This window comes from Homo sapiens, chromosome 18, assembly GCF_000001405.40.
Source record: "Homo sapiens chromosome 18, GRCh38.p14 Primary Assembly".
In the NCBI taxonomy this organism is placed as follows: Eukaryota; Metazoa; Chordata; class Mammalia; order Primates; family Hominidae; genus Homo; species Homo sapiens.
Window position 1 is genome coordinate 3,054,869 of NC_000018.10, and position 15,449 is coordinate 3,070,317.

A 15,449-nucleotide genomic window follows, 5' to 3' on the forward strand; every position below is an offset into this window, starting at 1 on the left:
CTCCAGCCTCCCAAAGTGCTAGGATTACAAGTGTGAGCCACCTCGCCCAGCCAATAAATATTTTTTGAAGAAATAAGTGATGCTGTGCAATGAAGACTGTTTGTTGGTTGACTCATGATTTAATTATTTTCCAGTAAAGAATATGTTTGGCTCAGGTATGCTGGCTCACACCTATAATCTCAGCACTTTGAGAAGGCAAGGTGGGAGGATTGCTTGAGGCCAGGAGTGCAAGACCAGCTTGGGGAACATAGCGAGACCCTGTCTTTACAAAAATAAGAAAAGAAAATATTACCTGGACATGGAGGTGCATGCTTGTAGTCCCAGCTACTCTGGAGGCTAAGGCAGGAGGATTTCTCAAGCCCAGGAGTTTGAGGCTGCAGTGAGCTATGATTACACCACTGCACTCCAGCCTGGGTGACAGAGAAAAACCCTGACTTATTTTTATTTTTTCTCGAAGTCAGGGAATAAAAACCCTGTCTCAATAAATAAATAAATAAAAGCATATTCTTGGGCATCTATCCAAAACTGAAGCAGGATTAAAGTTGAGAGGAACAGCAATAGAGTTACAAATAGTATGTTGACATCATTTCATAGCCAGCTGTTTTAAATGCTCCTTTTGAGATAGTTCCTGACACTGTAATAAAATGATAATCTAGCCACCATCCCCTAATCTATCCACCTCCCACGGTTGACAGGGTAGACCTCTGATACCCCTGCCAAAGTGGCACTCTTCTGGCCCATTGAAGTCCAACTTTGTGAAGAGTGGGCAAGAATGAAGGGCAGATTGCTCCCGTACCATCCATTAAATTAAAAAAAATTAATTCATATATTTTTCAGTGTAGGATTTCTATACGTTATTTTCCAGTCATTTAGCTTTTTTCCCCTAATAATATACTGTTCCCGCCCTATAGGTTATATTTTTTCCTTCAATATTTTAAACACGATTATTTTTGGGAGCTAAGCTATGAGGACGCAAAGGCATAAGAATGACATAATGGACTTTGGGGACTCCGGAGGAGTCCATGAGTTAACGGATCATTCCCATTCATTAACTCTAGTTCTTGGATGGGAATGATCTCTTTTGTGATTCTTCCTTGTGCTACTTCCTTTCCCAGATGGTTTTAAATTTTTACCTATGAGCTCATCTGTAGTAGGTATTTTCCACCAATTTTCTCTCAGGAGCCACATTCCTCGGGTTGTATAGTTACAAGAAGTTACAGGAGGAGCTGGTCAGCTGGCTGAGGCTTCTCAGGACTGCTTGTCCAGTTAGAATGTTCTGGTCTCAGTTTCACAGATAGGACAATTCCTTGGCTTTATACAGGGAACTCTCCTCACACAGGTTTGTGGCTTCATCTTTTTTTTCTTTTTTTCTTTTTTTTTTTTGAGATGGAGTCTCACTCTGTCGCCCAGGCTGGGGTGCAGTGGTGCTGTCTCGGCTCACTGCAAGCTCCGCCTCCTGGGTTCACGCCATTTTCCTGCCTCAGCCTCCTGAGCAGCTGGGACTACAGGTGCCAGGTACCACACCCGGCTAATTTTTTTTTTGTTGTTGTTTTTTTTTAAATAGAGACAGGATTCCACCGTGTTAGCCAGGATGGTCTTGATCTCCTGACCTTGTGATCCGCCTGCCTTGGCTCCCCAAAGTGCTGGAATTACAGACTTGAGCCACCGCGCCCGGCCAGCTTCATCTTTTGACATGAGTGAACACTATGTATTTGATCTATGATCATTTGATGTATGAACAAGACCCCAGCTCCACACTCCTGAAGTTTGAGTTCCAACACCCTCTTTATCCATTCACTTTTACACTTGCACACTACTTGCGCACTATTTTGTTCATTTCTACCCCCAATTTTTTTCATTCAATAGATATTTATCAAATGCTTACTAATGTGCCAGGCATGATTCTAAGCCCTAGACCATCAGCAGTGAAGTAAATAATGTCTTTTCCCTGAACAATTGTGCATTCAAGAGGTTTCTCTTTCTCCTTCCATGCTCTAAATGTACTAAAGACAGTCCTGTTATATTTGATCTTGCATGGTTGTGTGTTTGGAGCGTGTGGGTTTGTGGAGGTCCTATGACGGAGGTAGCTCAACCTGCAGTAATACCCAGAGGTCACCCCTCCCTTACATGTGACCCTGCGAAGTATGCTCCTGGCATATCTTAAAGACTGTGAAAATATTTCTATCCAGAGGCAGCTGGGTATAACTAACTGTTAAGAAAATGAAGTCTGGAGCCGAAATGCCGAGGCTCAAATCCCAGACCACTTACTAGCTGTGTGGTCTTGGACAAAAGGAACCCTCTTGGTTCCTTAGATTCCTCATGTGGAAAAGCAGCCCAATAATAGTATCTCCCCTACATGCTTATAGAAAGGATTCAGTGAGTAAACGGCTTAGGACAGGAGCTGGCACATTATAAGTACTTATGAATAGAGGCAGCGTAAACATCAATGACCCAGTGCCAATCACAAGGCTCTAGGACTAGTAGGTGTTGGAGAGGTGTTTCTTGTTGCCTTATTTGTTGTATTTGGTTTCTGCTACCTGCACACCTTGTGGGTCAGGACCTGCTGGTGAGATGGCCCATCACAGCAGTCCACCAGCCTTGCTGGGCTGAGTTGTAAGCTGGAGCAAGGTGGGGGGCCCGGAAACCAAACCAAGTTCAAACCAGGAGAATGTCTGAAGCCTCCATGGGGACTGTGTTAGTTTGCTGGTGCTGCCACATAACGAAGGATCACAGACTATGTGGCTTAAGCAACAGACATGTATTACCGTCTGAGATCAAGATGTTTGTGGGGTTGGCTTCTCCCAGGGCCTCCCTCCTCGGCTTGCACATGGCCACATTTTCCCTGCTTCTCCACGTGGTCTTCCCTTTGAGTCTGTGTCCTAAACTTCTCACAAGGACAGCAGTCATTTTGGGTTAGAGCTCACTACAGTGACCTCATTGTAACTCAATTACCTCTTTAAAGACATAACCTCCAAATACAGTCACATATTAAGGTACTGGGGGTTGGGGCTTCAACATATGAATTTTGAAGGACACAATTCAGCCTGTAATAAAGACAGAATGAGTTTGGCCAATGCCTTTTTTGTCTGGGAGTAGATATTGAAGCTCACACCTGTGTATACCTGTCTGCTCTGGGGATGCCTTCGTGGTACCGAGGGATTTTTTTTTTTTTTTGGAGATGGAGTTTTGCTCTTATCTCCCAGGCTGGAGTGCAGTGGTGCGATCTCGGCTCACTGCAACCTCTGCCTCCCAGGTTCAAGCGAGTCTCCTGCCTCAGTCTCTCAAATAACTGGGACTACAGTTGTGTGCACCACGCCTGGCTAATTTTTGTATTTTTAGTAGAGATGTGGTTTCACCATGTTGGCCAGGCTGGTCTGGAACTCCTGACCTCAAGTGATCTGCCTACCTTGGCCTCCCAAAGTGCTGGGATTAACAGGTGTGAGCCACTGCGCCCAGCCAGCCGAGGGATTTCTTTAACATAAATACTCTTCCCTTCAGTCTTGAAACTGGCTAAAACCCTCCTGCTCATCAAAACACAGAGTAAATGCTTCTGTGTCCACAAAACCTTTTCTGATTCCTGTAATCCACCTTCCCCTGTACCCTAACCTCACTGCACAGCAAGCATCGCACTCTCCTTGAACTCAGAGGATAGCATGCTGTCTGTCTCTTCCCTATGAACACGTTGCTTATACTGTGGTTGTTCACATTCTGGTACTGCTAACACATCAGTTAGCAGTAAACATCCTGAGGGCGAATCTCCATCTGATTCATCTTTGTTTTCTCACAGACATTGCTCAGTAAACATTTGTTGAAGGAATAAGTGAATGATAACAATAGCAACAAAACTGGCATATATTTTACACCTAAAGTCAAGTATCGAGAAGTTCCCCAAATCCATGATCAATACTTGACTAATTTTAAGACATAATGTGCTTAGCAGAATTTTTTCAGCTCCCCAGAGTAAATGCTTCAAGGCCAGGCACACCTGTAATCTCAGCACTTTCAAGGCCAAGGCAGGTGAATCACCTGAGCCCAGGAGTTCGAGATTAGTCTGGGCAACACAGCAAAACCCTATCTCTACAAAAAATACAAAAATTAGACAGGTGTGGTGGCCTGCACCTGTAGTTCCAGCTACTTGGGAGGCTGAGTTGGGAGGATCAATTGAGCCCAGGAGTTCAAGGCTGCAGTGAGCCACTGCACTCCAGCCTGGGTGACACAGGGAGACCTTGTCTCAAAACAACAACAACAACACCCCCACCCCACAAAAGAGAAAAACAACAAAAATGTTAATGCTTCAAAAGCCTGCCTTGTGGGGCAGAGGAGGCACGTAACTAATGCATACCTTTATACAGGCCAATGAATACCTCCGGCAAAAGAAAATATCATGCTCTAAGGGTGTGTAATTTTCAAGGACTCATGCAAGCGGTCCATAGAAGAAGTGAATTGAATTAGAATTTATTTATTTATTTATTTTGCAGTGACTAGCCTAATCTCTACAAAAAGTACTTTAAAGGCTATAAAAGTAAATTCTTTCTGATTTTTTTTCCCTTTTCATTTTAAAGGGAGTTCCCAGAATTTGACTCTTGTTTTGAATGATGTCTTTGTAACAAACTTCCTGTGTTGACAAAGGACACGCTGAATTTCTGTTACTGTGGCTACCACAGAAATGAGAGCAGTTCCAATCGTCTCACTGAATTAAGGCCTTTATACAATTTCTTTCAAGTTTTCTAATTTTTATTATGTTTGTAGCTCTATAATATACAACCATAAAACAAGATAATATTACTATAACAATAATAAACAACTGTATCTCTATATATCTCTATATAATACACAAATAACACAGTAACAATACTTTACAACAATAACTCTACAGCATACCACTATAATAAACATTTGAAGTGACATGTGGGTTTTTTTTTTTTTAACTTCCCCTAGTCTTTGGACTTATTTTGCTTTAAATTATTTATCAACAAAGGTCTGAACACTTAATAACCTCTGCCTTATGGTGATACATTTCCTCATTATTTTAGTTTTGTATTATCAAAATAGAGTGAAAATGAGACAAATTGTCTCTGAACCTTAGCTATGCAGGAGATCAATCTGCTTCTACTTCATAAAAGTTGTTCAAATGTCACTGACAGGTTCTAGTAGAACCAGGGACATCAAAGTGTCTATTTAAAAGCTAAAGTGATTTTAGCATGACCATATTTTAAAATGCAAATGAATTTTTTCTATTACTCTAGCTAAAATGGCTTCTCATTATCATTATGTTTTTATATTTTTATGTTTTCTTTGAGAAGGAATCTCGCTCTGTTGCCCAGGCTGGAGTGCAGTGGCGCAATCTCAGCTCACTGCAACCTCTACCTCCTGGATTCAGATGATTCTCCTGCCTCAGCCTCCCAAGTAGCTGGGATTACAGGCGTGCACCACCACGCCCAGACGATTTTTGTATTTTTAGTAGAGATAAAGTTTCCCCATGTTAGCCAGGCTGGTCTCAAACTCCTGACCTCAGGTGATCCACCCACCTCGGCTTCCCAAAGTGCTGGGATTATAGGCGTGAGCCACGGTGCCTGGCCTATATTTTTACTTACAGCTTTTCTTTTTCTTTGCTGCCTTGTATTTAAAGGCAACAATCTTTTTTTACACAGCGTTAGAAATGCTCAACCACTTTTTGAAATGTTAACCACCATAATGCAGCCCAGATAAGAAACAAAATTAAGAGCCTCAAGAAATACAAAATTGAGAAACATTCCAACTAAAAACGTTTAAACAAAATAGTCTCATTCTTTATAGATACGAAGTTTATGTGTAGAAGCCAATACACATTTCCTGCCTCTTCCCCCTCACTTCCTGGCCGCCGGTGCTACAGAGCAACTGTCCTGCCACACTTGAGTGAGATGGAAAAAACCAATTCTTCACCCCAGTTCACTTCCATGACTTCCGGCAGTGTCTGTTCAGAGGTCAAAGCTGTTGGTGATTTTCCACTTGTGCTGGACATAAACCTGGCAAAAAGGCAGGAATTTTAGGGACAGAGGGCTTTCTACCATGGCAGGTCAGAAGGGCCTGGGGGAACAGGGCCTGACCCACACCAAGTAAATATTTGTTGAATGAATGAATGAATGGAAGAAATGGTATCTTATGGTTTGTCTTTTTTGGAGACAGAGTCTTGCTGTTGCCCTGCCTGGAGAGTGGTGGCACGATCATGGCTCTCTGCAGCCTCGAGCTCCTGGGCTCAAGCATCCACCCATCTCAGCCTCCCAAGTAGCTAGGACTACAGTCATGTGCCACCATGCTCAGCTAATTTATTTTTATTTTTTGTTTTTGGTAGAGACGGGGACTCTCTGTGTTGCCCAGGCTGGTCTCAAATTCCTGGCCTCCTGAAGTGCTGGGATTATAGGTGTGAGCCACCGTGCCCAGGCAATGCCCCGTGTTTTTAATAGAATGACGTAGAGGTAATTGTTTTTTCTTTCTGTTTTGAGATGAAAACAAGGAATTGGTTTCATTTTCATTATTTTTTCATCTGTACTTCAGTGCTGCTGAAACTTTCACCTGAGAGGAGGATTTCAGATTTCTCGATTCTGCCCCCGCAACGAGTTGCTTCTCTTCTTTCTCTGCACAGTCTTCACTTTCATGAAGCCAAATGCCTCCTTGCAATTCAGCTCCTGGTTTTGAGTGTGTAAGGAAGACACACGCTTCTCGTGAAATTCTGGAGAATGTCTCCGGACTGCGTGGGAAGCTTATGAACCAGAGGTGCCTGTACTGACAGAAGCCTGTGAGCAAAGAGGGTTCCGAGAACTGGTTAGCTCTTTCTAGCCGGGAATATTAAGCTGTAAAGAACAAGGAAATGGAGGGAGCATTCACATATGTACTGCAGTTGGCATGGGGGTCTCCTTGGAGAGGCTTCCTGTGGGCAACTATGGGTGCATTCAGTAGGGACATTTAGATAACTAAGATGAGCCCTGGAACAACCAAAATAGAGTCAATGTAATAAAACACTCTCTGATTCTGGGACACGTCCCCCTCGTCTCTGAAAGGAAACACTTGGCTTCAGTTTGGCTCAGCAATGTAACACCTTTTCTCCCGGCTTAGAACCAGCTCTTAGCAAGCAGAGTGGGTGGCTTTTGTGTGATACCATGGGCACTAGTAACGCCTCAGGCTGAAGTCCCGGCCTGATAGGTTATGCCCTTAACCTTCTAAAACCAGAAACGAGAGGAAAGAAACCACAGAAGGAAACTGTAGAAACTCAACCCCAGGGGAGGCGAGCATTACCTTCATAATTTATTGCAAACAGTGCCTATTTTGTTTCCAAAGTGTTTTAAATTAAACTTAGTTGTGTATCATTTGGAATGTAAATATTCATCCTCAAAAGTGAGTAGCAGGGAGTATGGACTGTCTGAGTAACCACAGTGTGTGTGTCTGAGCTTTGTGACAAGTCTACTATGCCTTCTTGATGCTGGGCTACAATTAAAGCATGTTCTAAAAAAAGTAAAAAATGCACTTAGATGTTAGTAAGTATGAGCTAAGTAATTTTGGAAACTTTGGTGTGCATTTTAGAGATTGAGATTTTCATTTACATATATCAGTTGATTCTTCAGAAGCAATTTAAATAACTTAAGACTGTTTTTTAAACATAATCTTATCTCTAAAGCCCAAGGTAGAGGTCAAAATGCAAATATTTGAGGCTGTGATGTGATGGTCACTATGTATCCAGTTTGTAATCCTCCATATAACTGATGTATTAGTATTTTATCTAAACATCTTGCTGTGGGTATGTGAAGCAGGCCCACAGAACAGAACTAATGAACACCTGAGACCGTGCCAGTGTGTTCATTTAAAATGCGCTGCACCTTGTTCTGACACTCGATTTGTTGTAGATATTTGATCCTCTTGAGGCTTGCTTTTAAGCTCTGTTAGGGTGGGGCCAGAGGAGTTTTTAATCCAGGATTAATTTCTCACCTTAGTAGTGCCCCACTATGGAGGAGAAACTTCTGAGGACTCTACCCGAGGCCCACGTATTACAAAGTCTTTTCATTCCGGCTGGTGGACACGGACTCTGTTTCCAGCCCGCGTGAGCTCCAAGAATTGCTTGGCCTGAGGCTTTCCAGATTTCTTTCTCCCGTGCATTTGCTGAATAGTACTCAGCCAAAGAGCATGTGCAGCCTCCAGCACCCTGTCTTCGTGCAACTCTCCTCTCTCTCTTATTCTTTCTCATACATTTTAGACGACCCCGCCTCATTGAACCTCAGTCTCTGTCCCCTCAATTCAATGAGACTGACAGGCTCCCCCTGCTGGGCTGCAGCCTGAGCACTCTGTCTAGGCAAGAAGAAGCTGGAGCAATCACAGGTGTCTCATCACTTTCCCCTTCTCTCAGGCATCTTGGGCCTGCACATCTGCTGGCCAATGCCCTAAACGGTTATTTTTCCATATGTTTTGATATTTTGCCTGTTTTTCTAGTTGTTCATGGTGGGAGGACAATTTCCATAACAGTAATCCTTTGTGGGCAGACAGAGAATCCCGTCTAGCGTAGTTTTGCATTTGCTTCCCTGAGGCCCCGGACCTCGACCATTTTTATGGGAATTCTTGGCTTGAGATTGTTACCATGTGGTGCTGTAAATTTGCACCCCACAAACATGCAGTACTAGTTTGAGGAATCCATTAAATTTTCTTCCATCCAGAACCGCCCCCAGGCAGATGGAAAGCTTCTGTATAGCTTCTCTATGTCAGTTGGTGATATTTTTACTATTCCCATTTTTGTTTTGACTAAGCCACTCTTTGTGCATCTCAGATTTGTGCAGGCATCTTGGGTACCAACTCACTACCTTGAACAATCCAGGTCTACATCTCTCATTCTGGCATGTGTATTAAAACTCCAGTCCCAGATCTTAGAGGCTATATCTAGGCAAAAATTAGTATTTCTGCATTATGTAGGCTGTGCATATTTGATTTTCATGTACTTGAAATGTCTTAGCCTAGTGACTAAGTCCAATTTTTTTTTTTTTTTTTTGACAGAGTATCACTCTGTCTTCCAGGCTGGAGTGCAGTGGTGCAATCACAGCTCACTGCAGCCTTGACCTCCCAGGCTCAAGCGATCCTCCTGCTTCAGCCTCCCGAGTAGCTGGAACTACAGGCTCGTGCCACCACCCCCAGCTAATTTTGGATTTTTTGTAGAGATGGGCTTTCACCATGTTCTCCAGGCTAGTCTCAAACTCCTGGGCTCGAGTGATCCTCCTGCCTGGGCTTCCCAAAGTGCTGGGATTACAGGTGTAAGCCACTGCACCCAGCCTCCAGCTTTGTGATTCCAATGTAAAATGTTTAATTGACTGTGATTTTATGTTCATCTTACTAGGTTTATATACAATATGAGAATATTTATGAAAACTCCAAATTTTCTGTATTTATATACTTAGTTTAGTAGATAAAGTTATTTAAGTTCTTGAGACAGTTTTGTTTAAGTCAGACAATAGTAGTCCTTAAAGTGGAGAGAAAATATATTAATTTATAAATAAAGCTTAACAAATTAAAGGGAATTAAGTTATGCTATAAAAAGCAGCCTTAAACTTAATGTTCTTCAATAGTCAGATTTTTAAATGGAAAAATAATGTTTTAAAGTTGAACTTCAAGAATTTAGGAAGATCTAGGTTTTAAAATGTGTCACTTGACTATTATATATATATATATATATTAATTTTTTTATTTTTTTAATTTTTTTGTGATGGAGTTTCGCTCTTGTTGCCCAGGCTGGAGTGCAATGGTGAGATCTCGGCTCGCCACAACCTCCGCCTCCTGGGTTCAAGCAATTCTCCTGCCTCAGCCTCCTGAGTAGCTGGGATTACAGGCATGTGCCACCACGCCCGGCTAGTTTTGTATTTTTAGTAGAGATGGAGTTTCTCCATGCTGGCCAGGCTGGTCTCAAACTCCCGACCTCAGGTGATCCGCCCGCCTCGGCCTCCCGAAGTGCTGGGATTACAGGCGTGAGCCACTGCACCCCAGCCTATATATTAATTTTATAAAACTGAAGTAAACTCTGAATGGTCTTTTCTGTGTTCCAAGTTGATCCTTTAAGTACCACTACTTCACATTTACCAGGTCACAGATTCATAAATTTTTATGTGTTACAAAGTATCTTCGGCACCATTAAAGTGATGGATCTATAGTTTCAGTTCTATTTTCCCCTGTAGAAATAGCAGCTTTTTACCTAAGCTATTAAATCTTGAGGTCACTGGTTTAGTTTGGTCATAATAATGGCTGAAATAATTCTTATAGCTGTTTTGTTGAGCAATCTCAGCGTATGGAGCTCCGAACACAAAAGCCATCTCCCCAACTCACTGCTGCTGTGTCCCAGCAAACCCCTCTGCTGGGCGCAGGGGTCTTAGGGCACACTTTGATTTCATACATTTTTGCACAATTTCAGAATTTGGAATACACTGTTTTAAAATTTTGTTTCCACCTGATTCAACACCCGTCTTGCTTTCTCCCCAGTCTGGGATCCAGCAGGTGGAAATTAGGGAAGGGGTGGGAGGTGCTGCTTGCAGAAACCTCACCTCTCTGACACTGGGAGCTCTGTTGCTGGCTTTTTGAGGGGTGTGGTGGGGGCTTTTCGGAGAGTCTTAGGGGCCTCTCGCTTGCACAGCCCTTGGCCCTTGGCATGGGAGGTCTGCCGCCGCTTGAACCTTTCCCACCCCCACCCCCACCCCGCCACCCTCCCATCTTTAGCTCCCCAGCAGGTGTCCACCCACTGGCAGTTTCCTTCCGGGTCAGCTTGTTCAGATGTAGCCCTCTTACTGAGGCAGGCAGAACCGCAGACTGCTCATGGCCAGCCACCTTCCATGGGGTCCGCTTGACCCTTGGGAAGCTCATCTCCTTGCCATATCTGGGAGTGAGAACACAGCATCTGGCTCCTGCCTGGTGTTCAGTGTCATAGCAGCAGCATCCAGCACTTGTTTGGACAAGTGGATTGGCCACAGTCAGATGAGAAGCAATTTCCAGCCTTAAACTTGTAAAGGAGAGGGTGTGTAGGAGCCCCTGCCAACTGTATAAGGAAATTTCTTGTCTCATCCGCTACCTTTGGCAGGAGAAAGAAGGGGAAAAAATTGTTTTTATGAGATGGTCTTGTTCTGTTGCCCAGGCTGGAGTGCAGTGGCGCCATCATGGCTCATTGCAGGCTTGACCTCCCAGGCTCAAATGATCCTCCCACCTCAGCTTCCCAAGTAGCTGTGACTATAGGTGGGCACCACCACACCCAGCTGATTTTTAAAATTTGTTGTAGAGAGGGGTCTCGCTGTGTTGCCCAGGCTGGTCTTGAACTCCTAGACTCAAGCAATCCTCCCGCCTCAGCCTTCCAAAGTGCTGGGATTACAGGTGTGAGATACTGCACCCAACAGAAAAAAACACCATGACGATTTTCCTAGAATGGTGTGTGTTATGTGTGTGTGTGTGTGTGTGTGTGTGTGTGTGTGTGTGTGTGGTGCTGGGGTTGGGGAGGACAAAACTTTCTACAACAGCTGCTGCTGGGATGCTGACCCTCAGCAAACCCCTCAGGGAGTGGCAATTTCCACAGCTGGCAGTTCTCTGAGCTCAGAATGAGGCTTCTTATGTACCTTTTATTCTTAGCTGTGGGCCCTTAGTCTCCAGTTCTGGCAGGAGGCGCCTCACACCATCTTATCACATGTAATTGTCACATTACATTCAATTGCCTTGTGTATCTTATTAATGGAATTGGCTTGATTGTGTGGTAAGCCACCAGATGTGCAGTGGCCGTGTAATTTCACACCCCTGAACCTCGTTGAGCTCAAACGACTTATCTGATCATGTTGCAAGGTACTGCTTTCACCAAAAGGAATTTAAATCAGAAGATGTGGCACAAGACGCGTTGAGAAAGAAGCACCAAGAAGCCACCCAACCTAGCAGCAAAACAGCAGGAATTTGAGAAACAGTGTCGGGGAAGAGGACAGACGTGAAAACTGTTTATTCATACAGAGGAGGTTCCAAGCCACGAGGCGCCCGTCGAAAAGCACATCACCTCTGTAACAACACACGAGACACGGCCATGGCTTCACAGCTGCAGCAAATCCCAATTCGCCCCACGACACATTCGTCTGCCCTCTGACCATCATTCAATGTCCCTCCAACTTCATTCAAGTCTTCTCCTTAAAACTGTTTCCTAATCTTCATGCTATGAATGGTATTTTCTTAACACATAATTTTGTAGATAAAGAAAAACAATTAAAGTGTCATTAGTTGGTGCTTTTTTATATGAGTGAAAGACCTGACATTATTTTCCCCTCAAGCCAGAAAATAATAGGGAGGAGAAAGCATGAAGACGTCTCATCCTTAACCCAAACCATTCACACCCAAGTCACACAGGCCGGCTGGCTCTCCTCGCACCTCCGGTCACTTGGCCTTCTTGCCACCTTTCAGGGACTCCAAGGCGGCCATCCTCGCCTCCTCCTCTGGGATGAACACGCTGACGGTGAAGTCGCTGGTCTCCGAGCCATACTTGTTCTTCACAACCAGCCCGTATTTGCCCGAGTCAGCGGTGCTCACGCCGTTGATGGTGAAGTACGCGGTCCTCCCAGCCTCGAACTTGAGGTTGCAGTGGTCGTCTGAGGCCAGGGCCTTCTCGTTCTTCAACCACGACACCTCCGGAGGCGGGTCTCCCCACACGTTGCAAGTGAGATTAAGGGCCTGCAAGACAGGTTTTATGGGAGAGAAGAAGATAAATTAGATGTAATAGACACACTGTCAACAATCTTGCCGGCTGGTGGCTTGGCATGACCAAAGGGAGGATAAGTAAAAGCCTCCCGGACCAGGGTTTAAAGTAGTTCTGTGTATGCACCTGTGTGAGTTACAGTTTGAAATAACATGTGAGGGGATCTCCTCAAGGCCTTTTAATGCTCCTCAAGGCCTTTATATGCTTTCTGGCTTCTGGAATGCTTATTATCAAAAACACACGAAAGAGTTTATGTCTATTCCCCATTTTCACTTTCTCTTTCATAAACATATAGATGCCTTTTGCTCTATTGTGGCATTTTGGGTTCTGTCTCGGTACAGGAATCTCATTGCTGTAATTGCCACCTGCTCACTTTTGCCTTTCATTTGCATCAAAGAGCCGGGCAGCAGAATCACGGCAGCTGCTTCAGATAATGTTACTGATTTTCAAATTCCACCACCCTTATTTTACTTCTCTCCTCAAAGCCCATCCAATCTGCTGCAGTTGCAGTGGTCCCCTACCAAAACGTATTCCTAAAGAAAATATTCCCATCTGTGCTGAAACCTTATTCTAAAAGATCGATATTCTAGATATGTATGTAGACACAAGGTCTACAGTTTTATTTTACCTTACTTTTTTTAATTGAAAAGGATTTAGATAATTGTAAATTCACATGCAGTTGTAAGAAATAATAAAGAAATCCATAAGAAATAATAAAGAGATCTGGTATGCTGTCTACCCAGCTTCCCAGTGGTAACATTTTACAAAACTATAGTAGAATGTCATAACCAGTATATTGACATTGATGCAATCCACCGACCTTATTTAGATTTCTCTAATTTTACTGGTGCTTATTTGTGTTTGTGTGTGTTTCATTCTATTCAATTTACAGAATATTTTCATCACCACAAGAACCCCTTGCGTTGTCCTTTTATACCCACACCCACCTCTCCTCCAACTTCCAAACTCTGTTCCTAATCTCTGGCAACCACTCATCTGTTTTCCATTTCTAAAATTTTGTCAGGTCAAAGATATTATATAAATAGAATCATGCACTGTATAACCTTTCAGAATAACCTTTGTAACTCAGCATAATTACATCCAGATTCATCCAAGATGCTGCATGTATCGATAGTTTATCCCTTGTTCTTGCTGACTAGAATGTCATACTATGTTTATGCCCGTAAGGGTCATCTGAGCTTTTTCCAGTTTTAACTATGATGCACTAAGTTGCTATGAACATTTGTGTACAGGTTTTTATGTGAGCATAAGCTGTCATTTCTCTGGGATAAATGCCCAGGGATACAATTGCTGGAATGTATGATAAATGCATGTTTCATTTTTTCTTTATTTTTTTTAATTAAAAAAATAGAGAATAGAGATGGGGTCTCATTATGTTGACCAGGCTGGTCTTGAACTCCTGGTCTCAAGCAATCTTCCCATCGTGGCCTCCCAAAGTGCTGAGATTACAGGCATGGGCCACCACACCCAGCCCATGTTTTCTTTTTTTTTCCCAGAAATTGCCAAACGGTTTTTCTGAGCGGCTATACAATTTTGGCTTACATTCCCACCAGAATATACAAGTGATTCGGTTTCTCCACAGCCTCCCCACCATTTGTTGTTGTACACCAGCCCACCCAGCTACTATTCTTTATTACAGCAATTCTGATAGGTGTGGTGTGATATTTCATTGTGGTTTTAATGTTCACTTGCCTGGTGGTTAATGATGTTGAATTTACTTCACATTTTAAAATTCCATTCTTGTATTTTTCTCTTACTAAAATCCAGATGTGATAAGGAAAGAACTAGGGCTCACAATGTACAGAGAAAGAACACCCATCTACATAGCTTTCTAAAGGGTCTTACATGATTATTTGTTACCCCTTTTGCAGGTATATCATTTAAAATTGGATAGATTAAGAAATCTGTTTTTCTCCCATCACTAATTAATATTTCTTACTGAATTATCCTACAAATACATTTCAGTCAAAAAAAGAGGAGTCCAATTATTATCCTTAAACTTAATGAGCAGATTAGGTATATGCTTTTGGAAACTGTGATTACTTGTAGTTAAAACTTTTAACAAAATGAAACAAAGTCCCAAACACCCCCTGACAGTCTAGTGGTTAGGAAAAAAAAATGTGAAAAAGAAAAAACAAAACTCCCAAACACCTTAGGCATCATGGAAAACTCTTATCCACACTTCAGATTTGGGTTCTGCATTACAAAGTACTTTCATATACATTCTCTTTCTTAATTCTCAGTACGACCTAGAGAGTTGTATATTTTTAACCTTATTAGGTGAGGAAAATGGAAAAGACAGTTGAGGAACAAAAGAACCCCTGCAGTGGCTGAGCTTAAAATCAACCGTGATCATATTTTCCAACCATGAGGAAATGCAGTTGAATGAAACCTACCTCTTGCTAAAGCATTTCCACATGCCTTGCTTTGTTACCCGAATTCCAGTCACCCACTGTATGTCTTCACTGCCCTTTGAAGTGGAAAATTTGTTCCACTACAAATATCTCTACCCCTAGGACTGGTATGTTAAACTTGTTTTAATTTATTTTCCATTTATTTTTTGTAGACAGTGTCTCACTGTGTTGTCCAGGCTGAAGTGAAGTGGTATGGTGTCATGACTCACTGCAGCTTTGACCTCCTGGGCTCAGGCGATCCTCCCATCTCAGCCTCCAGAGTAGCTAAGACTACAGGTGTGCACCACCATACCCAGCTGACT

The 15,449-nt window shown here is 43.0% G+C and overlaps 1 protein-coding gene across 6 annotated transcripts in view, besides 2 other annotated features; it reads right to left on the bottom strand.

Annotated features, from left to right (window-relative positions):
- Nucleotides 5,783-6,077: an enhancer, noted in NCBI's record as "tiled region #10665; HepG2 Activating DNase matched - State 5:Enh". NCBI's record gives its function as "activates a minimal TATA promoter and a strong SV40 promoter by Sharpr-MPRA in HepG2 cells {active_cell/tissue: HepG2}" and the evidence as "EXISTENCE:reporter gene assay evidence [ECO:0000049][PMID:27701403]".
- Nucleotides 6,445-6,574: an enhancer, noted in NCBI's record as "active region_13036". NCBI's record gives its function as "activates an Ori minimal core promoter by ATAC-STARR-seq in GM12878 lymphoblastoid cells {active_cell/tissue: GM12878}" and the evidence as "EXISTENCE:reporter gene assay evidence [ECO:0000049][PMID:35858748]".
- The window catches only part of MYOM1 (myomesin 1), a 180,570-nt gene continuing 177,059 nt past the window's right edge, over nt 11,939-15,449 (bottom strand). For all 6 annotated transcript variants that reach the window (XM_047437910.1, XM_047437911.1, XM_017026062.2 and 3 more), the window contains one exon: nt 11,939-12,687. In XM_047437910.1, the coding sequence (XP_047293866.1) occupies nt 12,394-12,687 (294 nt within the window). In that variant the 3' untranslated portion in view covers nt 11,939-12,393. The remainder of the gene's footprint in view (nt 12,688-15,449) is intronic.